The following is a 17022-nucleotide window of genomic DNA, read 5'->3' as shown; positions in this document are numbered from 1 at the left end:
TCTCACTTATCATAAAGGTAATTTGGAGTAAACAGGAACAGCTGGAAGAGTAATGACAGAAGGCATAGGAAATAACCCTAGAGAGTATCAATACTTCTGAGAAAGGAGAATCAGGATAGTACTGTGATAGCAGCAGTAGAAGGAAAGGAAGAAGTGGACTGCACATGTTAACTATGATTCAGTACAGCACCCTCAATATTGTGGGTGTATTTCAGCACATCACAAATTGAGAAGCTTTTTGTAGAAATGCCTAAGGAAAGTAATCGAACTATTTCTCATATGAACCAATCATCTTATTTTCACTGATTTCTTTATACCTGTACATTGGTGGCCTTGAAGCTGCTGGGAACTGCATGGTGAAGTGGTTCGAGGAAATTGTACTTGTTCTGATCCTGGATGTTGCAGGTAACCTACTGAAGAGCTATGGAAAAAACAAAAAAACAGCATAATGAGAGGAGGATGACTATAAACATTCTTGAATGGGCTGGGCGCGGTGCTCACGCCTGTAATCCCAGCACTTTGGGAGGCCAAGGCGGGCGGATCACGAGGTCAGGAGATCGAGAACATCCTGGCTAATACGGTGAAACCCCATGTCTACTAAAAATACAAGAAATTAGCCGGGCGTGGTGGCAGGTGCCTGTAGTCCCAGCTATTCAGGAGGCTGAGGCAGGAGAATGGTGTAAACCCAGGAGGCAGAGCTTGCAGTGAGCCGAGATTGCGCCACTGCACTCCAGCCTGTGCGACAGAGCGAGACTAATTACTAAGAATAGAGGAAACAACAGAACATGTTCTGACATAGTTAACAAAATATTGACAAAAATTAAAGGCTATTAGTGTGAAACCATTAAGTTACTGCTGTATTTTTGAACAGTTAGTTTTTTTTTTTTTTTTTTTTGAGACAGAGTTCTGCCCTGTCACCCAGGCTGGAGAGCAGTGGTACGATCTCAGTTCACTGCAACCTCTGCCTCCAGGCTTCAAGCAATTCTCCTGCCTCAGCCTCCCAAGTAGCTGAGATTACAGGTGTCTGCCACCACACCCGGCTACTTTTTGCATTTTTAGTAGAATGGGGTTTTGCCATTTTGGCCAGGCTGGTCTTGAACTCGTGACCTCAAGTGATCCTCCTGTCTCAGCTTCCCCACATGCTGGAATTACAGGTGTGAGCCACTGCACCTGGCCTGAGCAGTCTTTCAGACTCAAATTAATATGGGGTTTGTCATAACATTATCTCTGAAGTTTTTTCTAGAATTTTTTTATAATAGTTAAAAACCACAGAATGATACTATTCTGAGAATTCATGAGTAACTGAGAGCCATAATTTATATCTAAAACTCTATTGTCTTTGTCATTTTAAAAAGCTGTCTTACAAAAACAGTATTTCTTAATTTAGTTGGAATAACTTTTTGCACCTGTGTCTCGTATAATTGCATTAAACTTTATACAAAACTACTGAATTACAGAGAATACAGGAAGACATGTTAAATGACAGTATGATGACGCAATCGGTAAAATCCAGAATATGGGAAACTCTAAGACAAATGTGTAAAAACATAAGCAATATTTGCGGGGCAGAAGGAAATACAAATATTAACTGGATATTTGATGTAATTAATGAATTAACCTCAATATTTTAAGATATAAAATGATATTATGTGGGATTTAAAAAATCCTTCAGGGATACATATGCTGAAATACTCATGGATATGAAATACTATGATGCCTGGGATTTATTTCAAACTAATATTGGAGGGAGAAGAGGCAGAGATTTATATGAAAACAGATTAGTAATTACATAATTGGTGATGGGCATATATGGGTTCAGTATACTTCTGTTTATATTTATATATGTTTACAGATTTCCATAATAAAAAGTTAATTCTGTCTTTCAGGCTGACAGTTAATAAGAATTAGTAAAGCTTTATGCCTTTTTAGGGGCAGTAACTCAGAGCGGTTCAATAAAAGGGAAAAAGAGATATAAAGGGAGGATTTAATAGAAAGTGATTTTGGATCATAAGTGAAAACAGTACTTTCTGAAATTTATGTTAATTATGGTTGTAATGTGTAATATAAGTATTAGCTACCTGTGGAAATAATACAGCTTAAGTCTGTAAATGTGCCGAAATTGAGGAAAACAGAAAGGTCCCCAGAGGTGGAAGGTTTTTTAGGCTCTGTTCTAACCCATGTGAACAGCTCTCCTGAGCCATGCCCCTCACTCTGATCTTGTTTGCTAAGGTCTGAGACATGTGGGTGAAAGCAAGCCATCCTGCAAAGGGAAGGGAATACTCAGGTCGGTCACTGAAGTAAGCAATATAGCCCATACTCTACTAAATTACAAACTGCGATTTCATTTTACCACTCTAGTGGGTTTCTAGCACTAGATTACCCGTTAGGTAAATGAGTAAGAATCAAGTTTTAGAATTATGTAAATGAGTTCCAGGCCTCTACTTATCTTCTGAGAGACGTATAGATAATTCAAGGGACATAGACTAGGCAATGAGACACCCTCTTAAATCACTTAAACACTTTAGAAAAAAGAAAGCACAGAAGTCAGTATTTACACTCTCTCTTTAAAAATACAAATATATTATACCAGAGATGAATCAGTTCTATAGTAATTTCACAAGTTTCTCCTCCTTTGGAAGACAGGAGGGAAAGAAGGACTTTTAAAGTAAAGCACCAGGCCTAGTCATTCAAAGTTGATATCCTACCCTTTAACAGAAAAATGAAACATCAATCTCAAATAATCCCATTTATCCCCAAACTTCCTGAAAAGTCCTGACATAAAACTATGAATGGGCCAGCCCCCCGCCCAGCCAGCCGCCCCGTCCAGGAGGGAGGTGGGGGGGTCAGCCCCCCGCCCGGCCAGCCGCCCCGTCCGGGAGGTGAGGGGCGCCTCTGCCCGGCCGCCCCTACTGGGAAGTGAGGAGCCCCTCTGCCCGGCCACCACCCCGTCTGGGAGGTGTACCCAACAGCTCATTGAGAACGGGCCATGATGACAATGGCGGTTTTGTGGAATAGAAAAGGGGGAAAGGTGGGGAATAGATTGAGAAATCGGATGGTTGCTGTGTCTGTGTAGAAAGAGGTAGACATGGGAGACTTTTCATTTTGTTCTATACTAAGAAAAATTCTTCTGCCTTGGGATCCTGTTGATCTATGACCTTACCCCCAACCCTGTGCTCTCTGAAACATGTGCTGTGTCCACTCAGGGTTAAATGGATTAAGGGCGGTGCAAGATGTGCTTTGCTAAACAGATGCTTGAAGGCAGCAGGCTCGTTAAGAGTCATCACCACTCCCTAATCTCAAGTACCCAGGGACACAAACACTGCGTAAGGCCGCAGGGTCCTCTGCCTAGGAAAACCAGAGACCTTTGTTCACTTGTTTATCTGCTGACCTTCCCTCCACTACTGTCCTATGACCCTGCCAAATCCCCCTCTGCGAGAAACACCCAAGAATGTTCAAAAAAAACAAAAACAAAAACAAAAACAAAAACAAAACTATGGATATGTAAACTAAAAAAAAAAATCAAAATATCCACTTTCAACTGTATTAAGGCCACTGCAATAAAAATTATTACCAATATTTTTTTCCTGTTTAGGAGCTGCCTCTTCTCTACGTAAGGTAGAGCCAGACAAACTGCTGTGAAATGCTTCTACAAGATCACTGGAGATTGATGAAAGACATTATAGGATATCCCACAGGTTTCTTCTGAGTTTTTTTTTTTTTTTTTCGAGATGGAGTCTCCCTTTGTCACCCAGGCTGGAGTGCAGTGGCGCAATCTTGGCTCACTGCAAGCTCCGCCTCCCGGGTTCATACCATTCTCCTGCCTCAGCCTCTCGAGTAGCTGGGACTACAGGTGCCCGCCACCACGCCCGGCTAATTTTTTGTATTTTTAGTAGAGACGGGGTTTCACCATGTTAGCCAGGATGGTCTCGATCTCCTGACCTCGTGATCCGCCAGCCTTGGCCTCCCAAAGTGCTGGGATTGCAGGCGTGAGCCACTGTGCCCGGTCCTTCTTCTGAGTTTTTTTACAGTGCTCATCTTATTCCTTTAACATTATAGGGTAATTCAGAGAAATTCCCCTTCTCTCCAGTTAATTAGTTATTCATTCTTACCATGTTTTGGAATTGAAGCCATGATAAAAAAAATGACAAATATAATGTATTTTTAAAGTTAGAAACTTACTTTATCAAAGTGTGATTTTATTTATTTATTTATTTTAAACAGACAAGGTCTCACTCTATTCCTCAGGCTGGAATGCAGTGGTGTTATCATAGGTTACTGAAGCACTGAACACTTGGGCTCAAGTGATCCTCCTGCCTCAGCCTCCCGAGTAGCTAACTACAAGCGCCCACCACTGCTTAATATCAAGCAATATCAATGCTTGATATTAAGATATATTCACTAGATCTTGCAAATTCAAGTGACAGTACATTGCTATTTTAATGCCTTTGACATTTAATACCTGACCTAGGGCAAAGCACCATGTATTTGGGTGTCAGAAGGGAGCACAGGGCTGTGTTCCAACTCTACTTGTTATTCGTTATATGAGTCTGAACATGTTATTTGAACTTCAGCTCTTTCATCAACAAACATGCCATTAGCACTTAAACATGCAATTAGCACTTGCCTTACCAAACTATGATGAAAGATTTGGCCAAATAATTCAAAGTGTAAACAGCCAAACATAAAAATGTACAACTTCATTAATAATCACAGAGCCAAATTAATACATGTTGCCATTTATGAAATGTGAAAACAGTAAAGCGGAGTCAGTACATATTGGGACTGTGAATCAAAGATTTTGGCAAAATGTACCATGGACCTTAATAACAGTCACATCCTTTAACCTACTAATTCCCTTCTAAGGACTCATGCCAAGGGAGTAATTAAAATTGCTTACAAGATGGTTCAATAAAGTAAAAAGATACGACCTAAATGTTCTGCAATAGGGTAAATATATTATTGTATATTCATAAAATGTAAGAGTATGATCATTAAATTATATTAATGAATTTTTAATAGGATGAAAAAATTTTTACTATGACCAATAAGTGAAATATATACAGTAAGATTTCAGCTACATTAAAACTCTGTAAGAGGCTGGGTGTGGTGGCTCATGCCTGTAATCCTAGCATCTGGGGAGGCCGGGGAGGACGGCTCACTTGAGGTCAGGAGTTTGAGACTAGCCTGAAACCCTATCTCTGCTAAAAATACAAAAACTAGCTGGGTGTGGTGGTGCATGACTGTAATCCCAGCTACTTGGGAGGCTGAGGCAGAAGAATCACTTGAACCCGGGAGGCAGAGGTTGCAGTGAGCCGAGATGGCACCACTGCAGTCTGGCCTGGGCGAAAGAGACTCTGTCTCAAAAAAAAAAAAAAAGCATGCATGCATTTTGTAATTATAAACAATACTTTAAAATGCTTTTTGAAAACTGAAAAGTTTAGCTTTTAAATGTTATAGTAGAAAGTTAATTTCAATGAAACAATTTGAATCTGCTTCAGAAAACTTCAGCAGATGTCAGAGTATGGCCATTTGAAGATGTTTATGCTGATATTCTGCAATATAAACCTTCAGTTCAGCCGGGTGTGGCGGCTCATGCCTGTAATCCCAGCACTCTGGGAGGCTGAGGCAGGCGGATCACTTGAGGTCAAGAGTTCGAGACCAGCCTGGTCAGCATGGTGAAACCCATTTCTACTAAAAATACAAAAATTAGCTGGGCGTGGTGGTGGGTGCCTGTAATCCCAGTTATTCAGGAGGCTGAGGCAGGAGAACTGCTTGAGCCTAGGAGGCGGAGGTTGCAGTGAGCTGAGATCACACCACTGCACTCCAGCCTGGGCAACAGAGCAAGACTCTGTCTCTAAATAAATAAATAAATGAATAAATAACCAATTCATTTGCAGGTCAGATGCTCAACTAGGCTTGTAGTCTCTGGAAGAAAACACCAACTTTCTGCCTCATAAGCTTTCTCAAAGTCATAGTAATTTCCATTTTATATATATTTTTTGTGGTGAGGGTATATATACCTAGTATAATATAAACTTTCAATTAATCAGAATTTGACTATATGCTCAATTAATGAAAATAAATGTCAAAATCTTTAATGTGTCATTTTTTGGGTTTTCCTTTAAATGCTAATAGCTGATTTATCTGGGCTTTCTGGTTAAATGCTCATATTTATAAAAGCATTAATTTATAGCTCATCTATTCCCTAATGTGAGCCATTAAAAAAAAACTGAATTTGACTAAAAAATGAAGTATTAAAAAAAGGGAGTGGGGACGCCTGCCCTAAGATTGTTGCTTTCATAGAGCATTGAATGTAGCTTTGTGTTTCTTGGCAGCTAAGATAAAATGGTGAGCCCAGGGATTATATAACTGCCAGGATGATAAGGAAAGCAAGCAGTTAGGCCACTGGCAGGTGCTGGATTGCAGAATATCATAATTGTATTCTAAAATAAATTTACAGCATGCAGTTAATTATAGAGAAATCCAGCCTTCCAGTATCACATATAAAACATACTTCATGTTTTACTAGGAAACTTAGAAGCTGGGCTGGAAATCTTGCCCAAAGAGGATTATTTCCCATTTAATAAATAGGTAGGATGCAGAAGTACCTGCAAGAAGGGCTAATATATTCCTTAAAAAGGAGCTCTGAACTTTTTAAGTACTTAAACAAGTATTTGCATGAAACCTAAAAAAGAGTCTACATTATATATTTAATGGAAAAGATGCCTTCGGCTTGAGAAATTGGAGGGTAGGTATCATAAACACAATTCACCACAAAGATGTCTCTGATGCTCCTGGAGAATGACTGATCTTGAGATGGGGCATATTCTGACCAGCGCATTAGGATGAACCAGCCATCATCAAGCAGCGTATTAGCAGATCTGTTAGAGACAGCACTTTAGTGGGTCAATGAAGTGATAGAAAACACCTGCTAAACAATAATTTCAGTTTTAGTATAGTTGATTCTATGCTGCTCTCTTTTGCCACCTCTTAAGTCTGTTCCTAGACTGAGATCTCTTTACTCTATATGTTTTTCTTTTTTTTGAGTCAGGAGTCCTGCTCTGTCACCTAGGCTGGAGTGCGATCTCGGCTCGCTGCAACCTCCACCTCCCAAGTTCAAGTGATTCTCTTTCCTCAGCCTCCCGAGTAGCTGGGATTACAGGCACACATCACCATGCCTGATATTTTTTTTTTTTTTTTTTTTGAGACGGAGTCTTGCTCTGTCGCCCAGGCTGGAGTGCAGTGTCATGACCTCGGCTTACTGCAAGCTCTGCCCTCCTGGGTTCACGCCATTTTCCTGCTGTAGCTGGGACTACAGGTGCCTGCCACCATGCCCGGCTAATTTTTTTGTATTTTTAGTAGAGATGGGGTTTCATCGTGTTAGCCAGGATGGTCTCGATCTCCTGACCTTGTGATCCGCCAGCCTTGGCCTTCCAAAGTGCTGGGATTACAGGTGTGAGCCACCACACCCGGCCATTTTTTTGTATTTTTTAGTACAGACGGGGTTTTGCCATGTTGGCCAGGCTGGTCTCAAAACTCCTGACCTCAGGTCATCTAACCACCTTGGCCTCCAAAAATGCTGGGATTACCAGCATGAGCCACTGCGCCCAGCCTTTTTTTTTTTTTTTTTTTTTTTCCCCCTGAGACAACGTCTTGCTCTGTCGCCCAGGGTGGAGTGCAGTGGTGCAATCATAGCTCACTGCAATCTCAAACTCCTGGCTCAAGCCACTGTATGTACATACCACATTTTCTTTATCCACCTGTTGATAGACACTTGAGTTGCTTCCACCTCAGGGTTTCTTTCTGAGGGTGATGAAAATGTTTTAAAATTGACCACGGTGATGGTTGCACACATTTGGAAATACACTAAAAGCTACTGAAATGTACATGTTAAGTGAATTGTATAGTATATAAATTATATCTCAATAGAGCTGTTTAAAAACAAGATAAATAAGCACATGGCAGAATGAATAAAAATGGTGCACACAGTAGTCACCCCTTATCTGTGGTTTTGCTTTCCTTGGTTTCAGTTACCCTCAGTCAACCATGGTCCAAAAGTATTAAAAATGCCAGAAATAAACACTTTATAAGTTTTAAATTGCATGTCATTATGAGTAGCATGAAGAAATCTCATGGTGTGCTGCCCAAGATGTGAATCATCCCTTTGCCCAGCATATCCATGCTGCCTGTTAGTCATGGACACTCTTTGCTCCTGACATTTAGCTATCAACACTGTCACGACTTGATGATCTAGATCACCTGAATCAAATGATCCTCCTCCTGACATCCTGTTGGAGAGTCAACAGTAGCCAAACATTATGTCACAACGCCTACAATCATTCACCTCACCTCACTTCATCTCATCACATATGCATTTCATCATCTCACATCACCACAAGGATGAGTACATTTATATGTATGCATGTGTATATATTTACTTTATTATTATTTTTTGGAGATAGGGTCTTGCTCTGTGACCCAGGAGTGCAGTGTTAAGATTGTAGCTCACTGTAACCTTGAACTCCGGGGTGCAAGTGATCCTATCAGGTCAGTCTCCCAAGTAGCTAGGACTACAGGTGTGCACCACTGCACCTGGCTAATTTTTATAGTTTTTTTTTTTTTTTTTTTTTGGTAGAGATGAGGTCTTGTTATGTTGCCCAAGGCTGCTCTCAAACTACTGGCCTCAAGCGATTCTCCCATCTCTGTGTCCCAAAGTGTTGGGATCACAGGCGTGAGCCACTGTGCCAGGCCAATGTACAATATTTTGAGAGACCACATTCCTGTAACTTTTCTTACAGTATATTGTTATCATTGTTCTATCATTAGTTATTAATCTATCACTGTGCCTAATTTATAAATTAAAACTTTATCGGAGGCATGTATGTATAGGAAAAAACATAGTACATACAGGGTTCAATTCCATGGTTTCAGGCATTCACTGGGAGATCCTGGAACATATACCCTCTGGATAAGGGGGACTACTGTACATGAAAAGTATTTACAAAATCCTGTTGTATGAAATCACCCACAAAAGGTCGAGACTTAGGAAAATTAATAGCATGGGAAATTCCACATGAAAATAAACTGCCATCATGTGTCTTTTCTCTTTATGTTTTTGTAAATATTTCATGGCTGCTATTTCAAATTATTTTTTAGATGGGAGAATAGGAACAAGTGTATTCTTCTCAAGCAATAATTGATTCATTTGAAAAGCAAGTCATACATCTACTACAGCTTTTAGTGACTACTAGAAGCGATGTCTTTGAAAATTTATGAACAGTTGTCAAGGTGTGTTAAGTCATTTGGTTTTCTGCCTTTTTAAACCACCCTACATCTTATTGTCAATGGCAGTTAAGCAAGCTTCCTGAACTTAATAATATTACTTAATAGACATGTGCTCTATTCACTTAAAATGCTGTAAGTCATCAATAAAATCCATTTGTGAACTATAGCAGCCTGAATATCAAACATTTATTCTTCTGAATTGAAGATACTGGAGCAATTAACACAGAACAAACACCTTTAAAACTCACTGGTCCCACTATCTGAGAAACGGTCTGTGACAACTAAGTAAATCTCACTATGACTTAAGCTAAACTTAATCAGCCTAGCAGAAAAATAAATGGAGAAGAAAATTTAAACTATTCAAAGGTTACCAGGTTACTCCATGTTTTTTTTTTTGCATCTTTTTATTTGGATTCTTATGTTAATAATAGCACTGTTATAATTTGTTTAGCCACAATTTAAATTCTGGGGTGGATTATCTTTGTGATAAAATTTTAGAGGTAGAATTTAAAAGTACAGCAATTTTGCATTTTGTTAAATATCCCGACTGATTTATAGAAAAATGGGCTTGATATGCCTAGCAACCAGTAATGTTTAAACGTCTCTATGCACAGTATTGCTAACTATATGTTTTAGCCTACTTTTTGTGTTCAAGTTGCCTTAATTCTCATTTTTTGGATTGCTGGTAAGACAACATTTTCCCATGTGAAAACTTACTATCAGTTTTCTTCGAGTAACAATTTATCTCTATGGATTATTTACTTGTAGTCTCACTGTTACCATCTTAGAACATAGAGAAGTGATAAAAATGTTCTATATAATAAGCTTTTATTAGGCATACTTGTCACATTTCCCCTGTATCTTGCTTCTTTCCTTTGAATATTAGTCTTAATATAGCTGTAATGGATTTCTACATTTACAAAACTTTAGAACATTCTTCTACTCTGATAATGTACTTGATATCTTGACTAATTCACTGAGAAAAGCAAAGCAATCAGAAGAGAATTTCTCTTGCTGCCATATCTATCCATCTACCCATATCTGTATCCTTATACTCTCCTTGTCCTCGTTTACTGCCCATGAAATCCTCTGCACTGTTATCTAAGGCTAACCCGCTTCCATTTTTGTGGTGGCTCTCACCCTCCCTGGGGACCTTACAACTCTCTCTCTTGTCCCTTGCAGAGGCAAATCTTCTGTATCTACTAAGCCTTTCCCTTCAGCATACAAACACATGCATCTATCTTTCAATCAAAAAAGGATCCTCTGTCTTGACTTCATCCTCTCCATATACGAATCCAATTCAACGCTTATCCTTATGAAAGCAATTCTCTTCAAAGGCTGTCTCTATTTATTGTCTTCAATTCCTCTCCTCCCATTCTGTTAGCTTTTTTTCTCCTAAAGTCTTCTATATATTTAGGCCTCTCTTCGAATGATTTTGCTATTTTTTGGGGTTTGGAATATCTAATCTATCTATCTATCTATCTATCTATCTAATCTATCTAATCAATCTATCTTATCTATCTTATCTATCTATCTATCTATCTATCTATCTATCTATCTATCTATCTATCTATCTATCTATCTATCTGAGTGTAATATTGTTTGGATGTGTGTCTCCACCTAAATCTCATTCACAATGTAATCCCCAACGCTGGAGGTGGGGCCTGCTGGGAGGTGACTGGATCATGGAGGTGGTTTCTAATGGTTTAGCACCATTCCCCCTTGGTACTGTACAGTGAGTTCTCATGAGATCTGGTTCTTTAAAAAGTGTGTGGTGCTCCCCCCACTCTTCTCTTCCTCGGGCTCCAGCCATGTAAGACGTGCCTGCTTCCCTCTTGCCTTCTGCCATAATTGAAGTTTCCCGAGGCCTCCCTAGAAGCCACTATGCTTCCTATGCAGCCTGCGGAGCTGTGAGCCAATTAAACCTCTTTTCTTTATAGATTACTCAGTCTCAGGCATTTCTTTATAGCAATGCGAGAACAGACGAATATAGAGTGCTTAGAAATATATTACAGTTTAAATTAAGTATAATAACAAAATAATTATCTATGTAACTTCATTCAGATTGGGAAACAGAACATTGCTAGTATCTTAGAAGCATCCCTGCCTTGGCTGGGTGCGGTGGCTCATGCCTGTAATCCCAGCACTTTGGGAGGCTGAGGAGGGCGGATCACGAGGTCAGGAGATTGAGACCATCCTGGCTAATATGGTGAAACCCCGTCTCTACTAAAAATACAAAAAATTAGCTGGGCGTGGTGGTGGGTGCCTGTAGTCCCAGCTAGTCGGGAGGCTGAGGCAGGAGAAAGGCGTGAACCCGGGAGGCGGAGCTTGTACTGAGCCGACATCGCACCACTGCACTCCAGCCTGGGTGACAGAGTGAGACTCCGTCTCAAAAAAAAAAAAAGGGAGAAGAAAAAAAAGAAGTATCCCTGCCTTCCCGTCTCATGCACCTCTAACATCAAAACCCCCTCCTACCAGTTTTGTGAAGAGCACTTACTTTTTTTTTTTTTTTTTTTGAGACAGAGTTTTGCTCTGTCACACAGGCTGGAGTGCAGTGGCACCATCTCGGCTCATTACAACCTCCGCCTCCCAGGTTTAAGTGATTCTTATGCGTCAGCCTCCTGAGTAGCTGGGATTATAGGCATGCACCACCATGCCTGGTTAATTTTTTGTTTTTGGTAGAGATGGGGTTTCACTATATTGGTCAGGCTGGTCTCAAACTCCTGGCTTCAACTGATCTGCCTGCCTTGGCCTCCTAAAGTGCTGGGATTACAGGCGTGACCCACTTTGTCCAACCAGTACTTACTTGCTTTTTATTTCTTGTATAATTTTACCACATATATATGTATCCCAAAAGAACATAGTTGAGTTTTGACTGTTTTTGATCCTAAATAAATGGAATAATAGATTATTTTATGACTGTTTCTTAATTACTCAGTATCATATCTGTGAGACTCAACCAATTGGATACAAGTAGTTGTACTTTAGTAATTTTCTTTGTTGTATAGTAGTGTCTGAAATGAATACATCAAAATATACTTACACATTCTATTCCATTTTATTTGGATTACTTCCAGTATTAGGCTAAACATTGTTGCTACAAACATTCATAAACATGTCTCTGATACCTATCTGCCAAGGTTTTTTTAAGGCAGATGCTGGTAAACTTTTTCTGCAAGAGCCAGCTAGTATATATTTTAACTCTGAGTAACACATGGTCACTTAGGAGTTAAAAAATAATAATCCTTTACAAATTTAAAAACCATTCTTTGATTGTGGGCTGTAGTTTTCTGACATCTGTTCTAAGATATAAACCATAGGGAGTACAAATCTTCCACATCACAAGATGGTTTTGGGCATAAAGGTTTTACATGTATTTTGTTGGGATTACAGGAGTATGCCACCACTTCCAGCTAATTTCTTGTATTTTTAGTAAAGGTGGGGCTTCACTATGTTGGTCAGGCTGGTGCAACATAGGTATTTGGACTTTCTTTTTATTGTTTTTTTGTTTCCCCCCGATCTCTCACCTCTGGCTGAAAGGAGTTTTTAGTCATTTGCTTTTTGAAAAAAACACTTTTGATTAAATTTTAACATTTCAATATGACTCTGTAACAGGTTTTACAGTTAGTTCAAGTCTACCTTTATTCCTCCATTAAATGCCCTGTGGCCTATCTTAACCTCACAAATTCTTACTCTTGTTTTTAATAATTTGTTAGTTTTACAGTATTTCTTTTCACTTTATCCAAAACTAGTCTTTGTTTAAACTATTAGAAAAGAAGGCTAGGCAAGGTGGCTCACATCTGTAAACCCAGCAGTTTGGGAGACTGAGGTGGGAGGATTGCTTGAGCCCAAAAGTTCGACACCAGCAGGGTAATACAGTGAGATCCTATCTTTAAAAAAAATTAAAAAATTAGCCAGGTGTGGTGGCGTGCACCTGTAGTCCCAGCTACTTGGGAGGCTGACGCAGGAGGATTGCTTGAGCCCAGGAGGTTGAGGCCTCAGTGAGTCAGGATCACACCACTGCATTCCAGCCTAAATGACAGCAAGAACCAGTCTCTAAGAAAAAATTTAAGACTCAGATTATTTTATAGTTTTACTGAGGTATAATTTATAGAAAATAAACCACACATAAAGTATATAATTTAAAGAGTTTTATGTATATGCACACCATAAAGCCTCACCAAAGTTGCCTTGTGCCCCTTTGTAGTCCCACCTTCCCTTCTTCCCCATAAACTCTTCCCAGCCTCCTGGCTCCAGGCAACCACTGATCTGTCTGCTGTCAACAGAGATTAGGTTGTTATTTTCTATAATATCAATGGAATAATGTGGTTTATATATATTTTTTGGCCTTTTTCTTTTTTCGCTCAGGATAATTATGAGATTCATCCATGTTGCTGTTATCAACAGATCTTTTTTTATTGCTAAGTAATATTCCACTGATGAATATACCATGGATTGTATCCATTCACCTGTGGGTGGACATTTGGGTTTCTTCTAGTATTCATTTTTCTTAAATACTTGGAAGTGGAATAATTGGGTTTAACGTTTAAAACAAACTGTTTCCCCAGGTGGTTGGTTTGAGAATTCTTGATTTATTATACACACGAGCCCTTGTCAGAAGGACAAAAATATATTTGTTTTTTAAGCCTGTATATTGCTTACCTTTTATTTGTATTCTTTTGTGTACCACCAATTTCCATTGGTATCATTTTCCTTCTGTCTGAAAAACTTCCTTTAACAGTTCTCACAGTGCGAGGTGGCTGGCAATTAATTCAGCTTTTGTGTGTTTGAAATCTCTGTTTCTGAAAAATATTTTTACAGGTATAGAATGCAAGTTTTCTTTCTTTCACTTCTTCAAATAAAGATGTTGCTCCACTGTCTTCTGGCTTGTATTGCTTCTAAGTCGGCTGACATTCTTAACTGTGTTCCTCTGTATGCAATGGCTCTTTTCCCCCTCTGGCTGCTTTTAAGATTTTCTCTATAACTTTTTAAGATGTTTTCTTCACATTTCTTTTGCTTGGATTTGCTGAGCTTGTTGGATCTGTGGGTTTATAATTTTCATCAAATTTTGAAAAACTTCAACCATCACTTACTCAAATATTTTTTTTCCCTTTTCTCTCTTTTGAGGATGCCTGTTACACATGAATTAGCCCCTTAAGAGCAATGATGCTTTGTTAATCATTTTCCCTCTCTGATTTTTATACTGGCATTGTTTCACAGTCAGTTTCAACTCAGTGATTTTTCTCCTCATTATTAGCCTTAGTTTCCTGATTCTCTGCATTCTCAGTAATTTTTGATTGGAGACAGGTAATTTCTGATTGGAGTCAAGACTAAATTGTGAATTTAACCTTGTTGGGTGTTGGATACTCTTGTAATTTGTAACAGTATTTTTGAGCTTTGTTCTGGACCATAGTTAACTTGTCTGGAAATAATTTAATTCTTTTGGGTTTTGCTTTTATGATTTTTCAGGCAGGACGACAGCAGCCTTTTGTTTTTAAATGCTTTTGGGGGGCGGGCAACAGGAAGCTTAGAGCCAAACAGAGCAGCCTTTAATCTAGGACCAATTTTCCTCCATATTGAGATAGTGTCCTTTTAAGTCCTCTACTTGTTGCTTCCTGTATTATGAAGTTTTGCCAGTGGCTGGTAGGACTACAAATGATTACTGTCCTTGGGTGAGTTCCAGGGATTGTTTGTGTCTGCTCCTTTTGAGTGGTTCTTTTCCTGGCCTCAAGTAGTGTTTGCAAACATATGCACCAATCTCTTCAACTAAGACTCAAGGAGGTCCCTCCAGAGATCTCTAGAGCTCTCTTCTCTTCAGTATTCTGCCCTGTAAACTCTAGCTACCTTGGCTTCCTTAAGTCCCAACTCCATCTCCTAACTCAGAGACTCTGGTTGGGTTCCCCCTCCCTGAGCTGTGTCTGGGAAACATTCTTGTGGCACTAAGCTGGGGCAATCCTAAGACTCACTTCTTTTGTTTCTCCCTCTCAGGGTTTACTGTTCTTCAATGTCCCATGTCCAATATCTAGAAACTACTGTTTCACATAATTTCTGGCTTTTTGGTTAAGGTAGGAGTTAAATCCAGTCTATATTACTCCATTTTGGCTAAAAACAGAAGTCAGGAGGATGCAAGTTTTAAAGATCCTTTCTTCAATATCCCTCATATTGTCCCTGATACCACGTAAGATGCCAAAGTCAGCACACTCCCAAGACCTGGAAATTATTCAAAAAATAAAATACACAGGATATGCTAGAGGGACACTTCCAACACATACCTCTTCTACCTTGTAAACTGGGTTGGCCTATCTCAGGGGACTGCTTGTTATATAGGTTGCTTGTGGCCTCAAGAAATATCTAAAACAGCAAGTTTGGCAATAGCCATTCAAAACCTTAGGCAGTAAAAATAGTCACTGTGGATTTTTAAAAACAATTGGGAAAAGTTTAGAAGTTACTTGAGGAATAAAAGCTGTAAAAATCTAAACTGAAGAATAATTCAAAAGTAGGTAGGGAAGATTTAGAGAATCATTCCTTTTTGTCTCATGTTAAATTAATTATTTTCTTTTTTTTTTGAGGCAGTTTCGCTCTTGTTCCCCAGGCTGGAGTGCAATGGCGTGATCTTGGCTCACTGCAACCTCTGCCTCCGGGTTCAAGCTATTCTCCTGTCTCAGCCTCCCAAGTGGCTGGGATCACAGGCGGGTGCCACCAAGCCCGGCTAATTCTGTATTTTTAGGAGATGTGGTTTTGCTATGTTGGCCAGGCTGGTCTTGAACTCCTGACCTCAGATGATCCACATGCCTCAGCCTCCCAGAGTGCTGGGATTACAGGTGTCAGTCACTGCACCTGGCCTAAGAATTCTTTTCTCCTTTAGTTCTTTCTCTTCTAGTTTTCAAAGTAGTTACATCTTTCCTCTTTTTGAATAAATACTATGACCTTTTGTCCATAATACTTCATGAACCATCTGAACTTGTTATTTTTTTCTTAAGAGTCCTTTTTACTTTACCACATACTATCTCAAGGTTACAAATGACCTCTTCTGGTCACAGCCAGTGTTTTTTATTCCCTTTAATGGTCTTCAACTCTCTTCCTTCCTCACCCCCTACAACATCTGACTATTAATCTTTGAAATCTCCTTGTATGTTGGCTTCCACACTCCTTTTTCCTAAGTTGTTGGTCTTCATTTGTGACCACTGCCTCTTTGTCTTTTTTTTTTGCTGGCTATCAACCATCTAGTACAGGAGTTGGCAAACTATGGCCTATAGGCAAAACCCAGACCACTGCTTGCTTCTGTATTGCCTCCAAGCTAAGAATGGTTTTTACAGATGAACATCTGAAATCAACTTGATGACAAAGAACACTAACTTTGAACCCCAATTAAGTAAAATGTTATCTGCCACCCAAAATAAATCCATTGTGCTCATTATTATATTTTGAATTTTAGCAATAAAAATTTATGGAAACTTATTTTTCCCCTTGTTATATAAATACCTAAATAGAATCCACAATTCTGTATTTTGGCTTACAAAGCCTCAAATATTTCCTATTTGGCGTGTTTCAGAAAAAGTCTGCCGACCTTAGATCTAGTAGGTATGTTAAAGTAAATGATACCCAAATAACAGTTACACTGATTTTCAATCCCAACATGTATTGCTGCTAGTGGGGCATTACCCATTAAGATATCTCAAATCTTTCCTTAATCCTCACTTAACATAAAATATTTGTTTCTTCTTTCAAAGTGCACCC

The 17022-nt window shown here is 39.3% G+C and overlaps 1 protein-coding gene across 7 annotated transcripts in view; it reads right to left on the bottom strand.

The window, feature by feature from the left end:
• Positions 1-17022, bottom strand: part of R3HDM1 (R3H domain containing 1) — a 193786-nt gene that overhangs the window by 15416 nt on the left and 161348 nt on the right. For all 7 annotated transcript variants that reach the window (NM_001378107.1, NM_001354200.2, NM_015361.4 and 4 more), the window contains one exon: positions 318-421. In NM_001378107.1, coding sequence (NP_001365036.1) covers positions 318-421 — 104 coding nt within the window. The remainder of the gene's footprint in view (positions 1-317; positions 422-17022) is intronic.

The sequence above is a fragment of the Homo sapiens genome, chromosome 2 (genome assembly GCF_000001405.40).
Source record: "Homo sapiens chromosome 2, GRCh38.p14 Primary Assembly".
Classification (NCBI taxonomy): Eukaryota; Metazoa; Chordata; class Mammalia; order Primates; family Hominidae; genus Homo; species Homo sapiens.
This window is presented reverse-complemented; position numbering and strand designations above follow the sequence as displayed.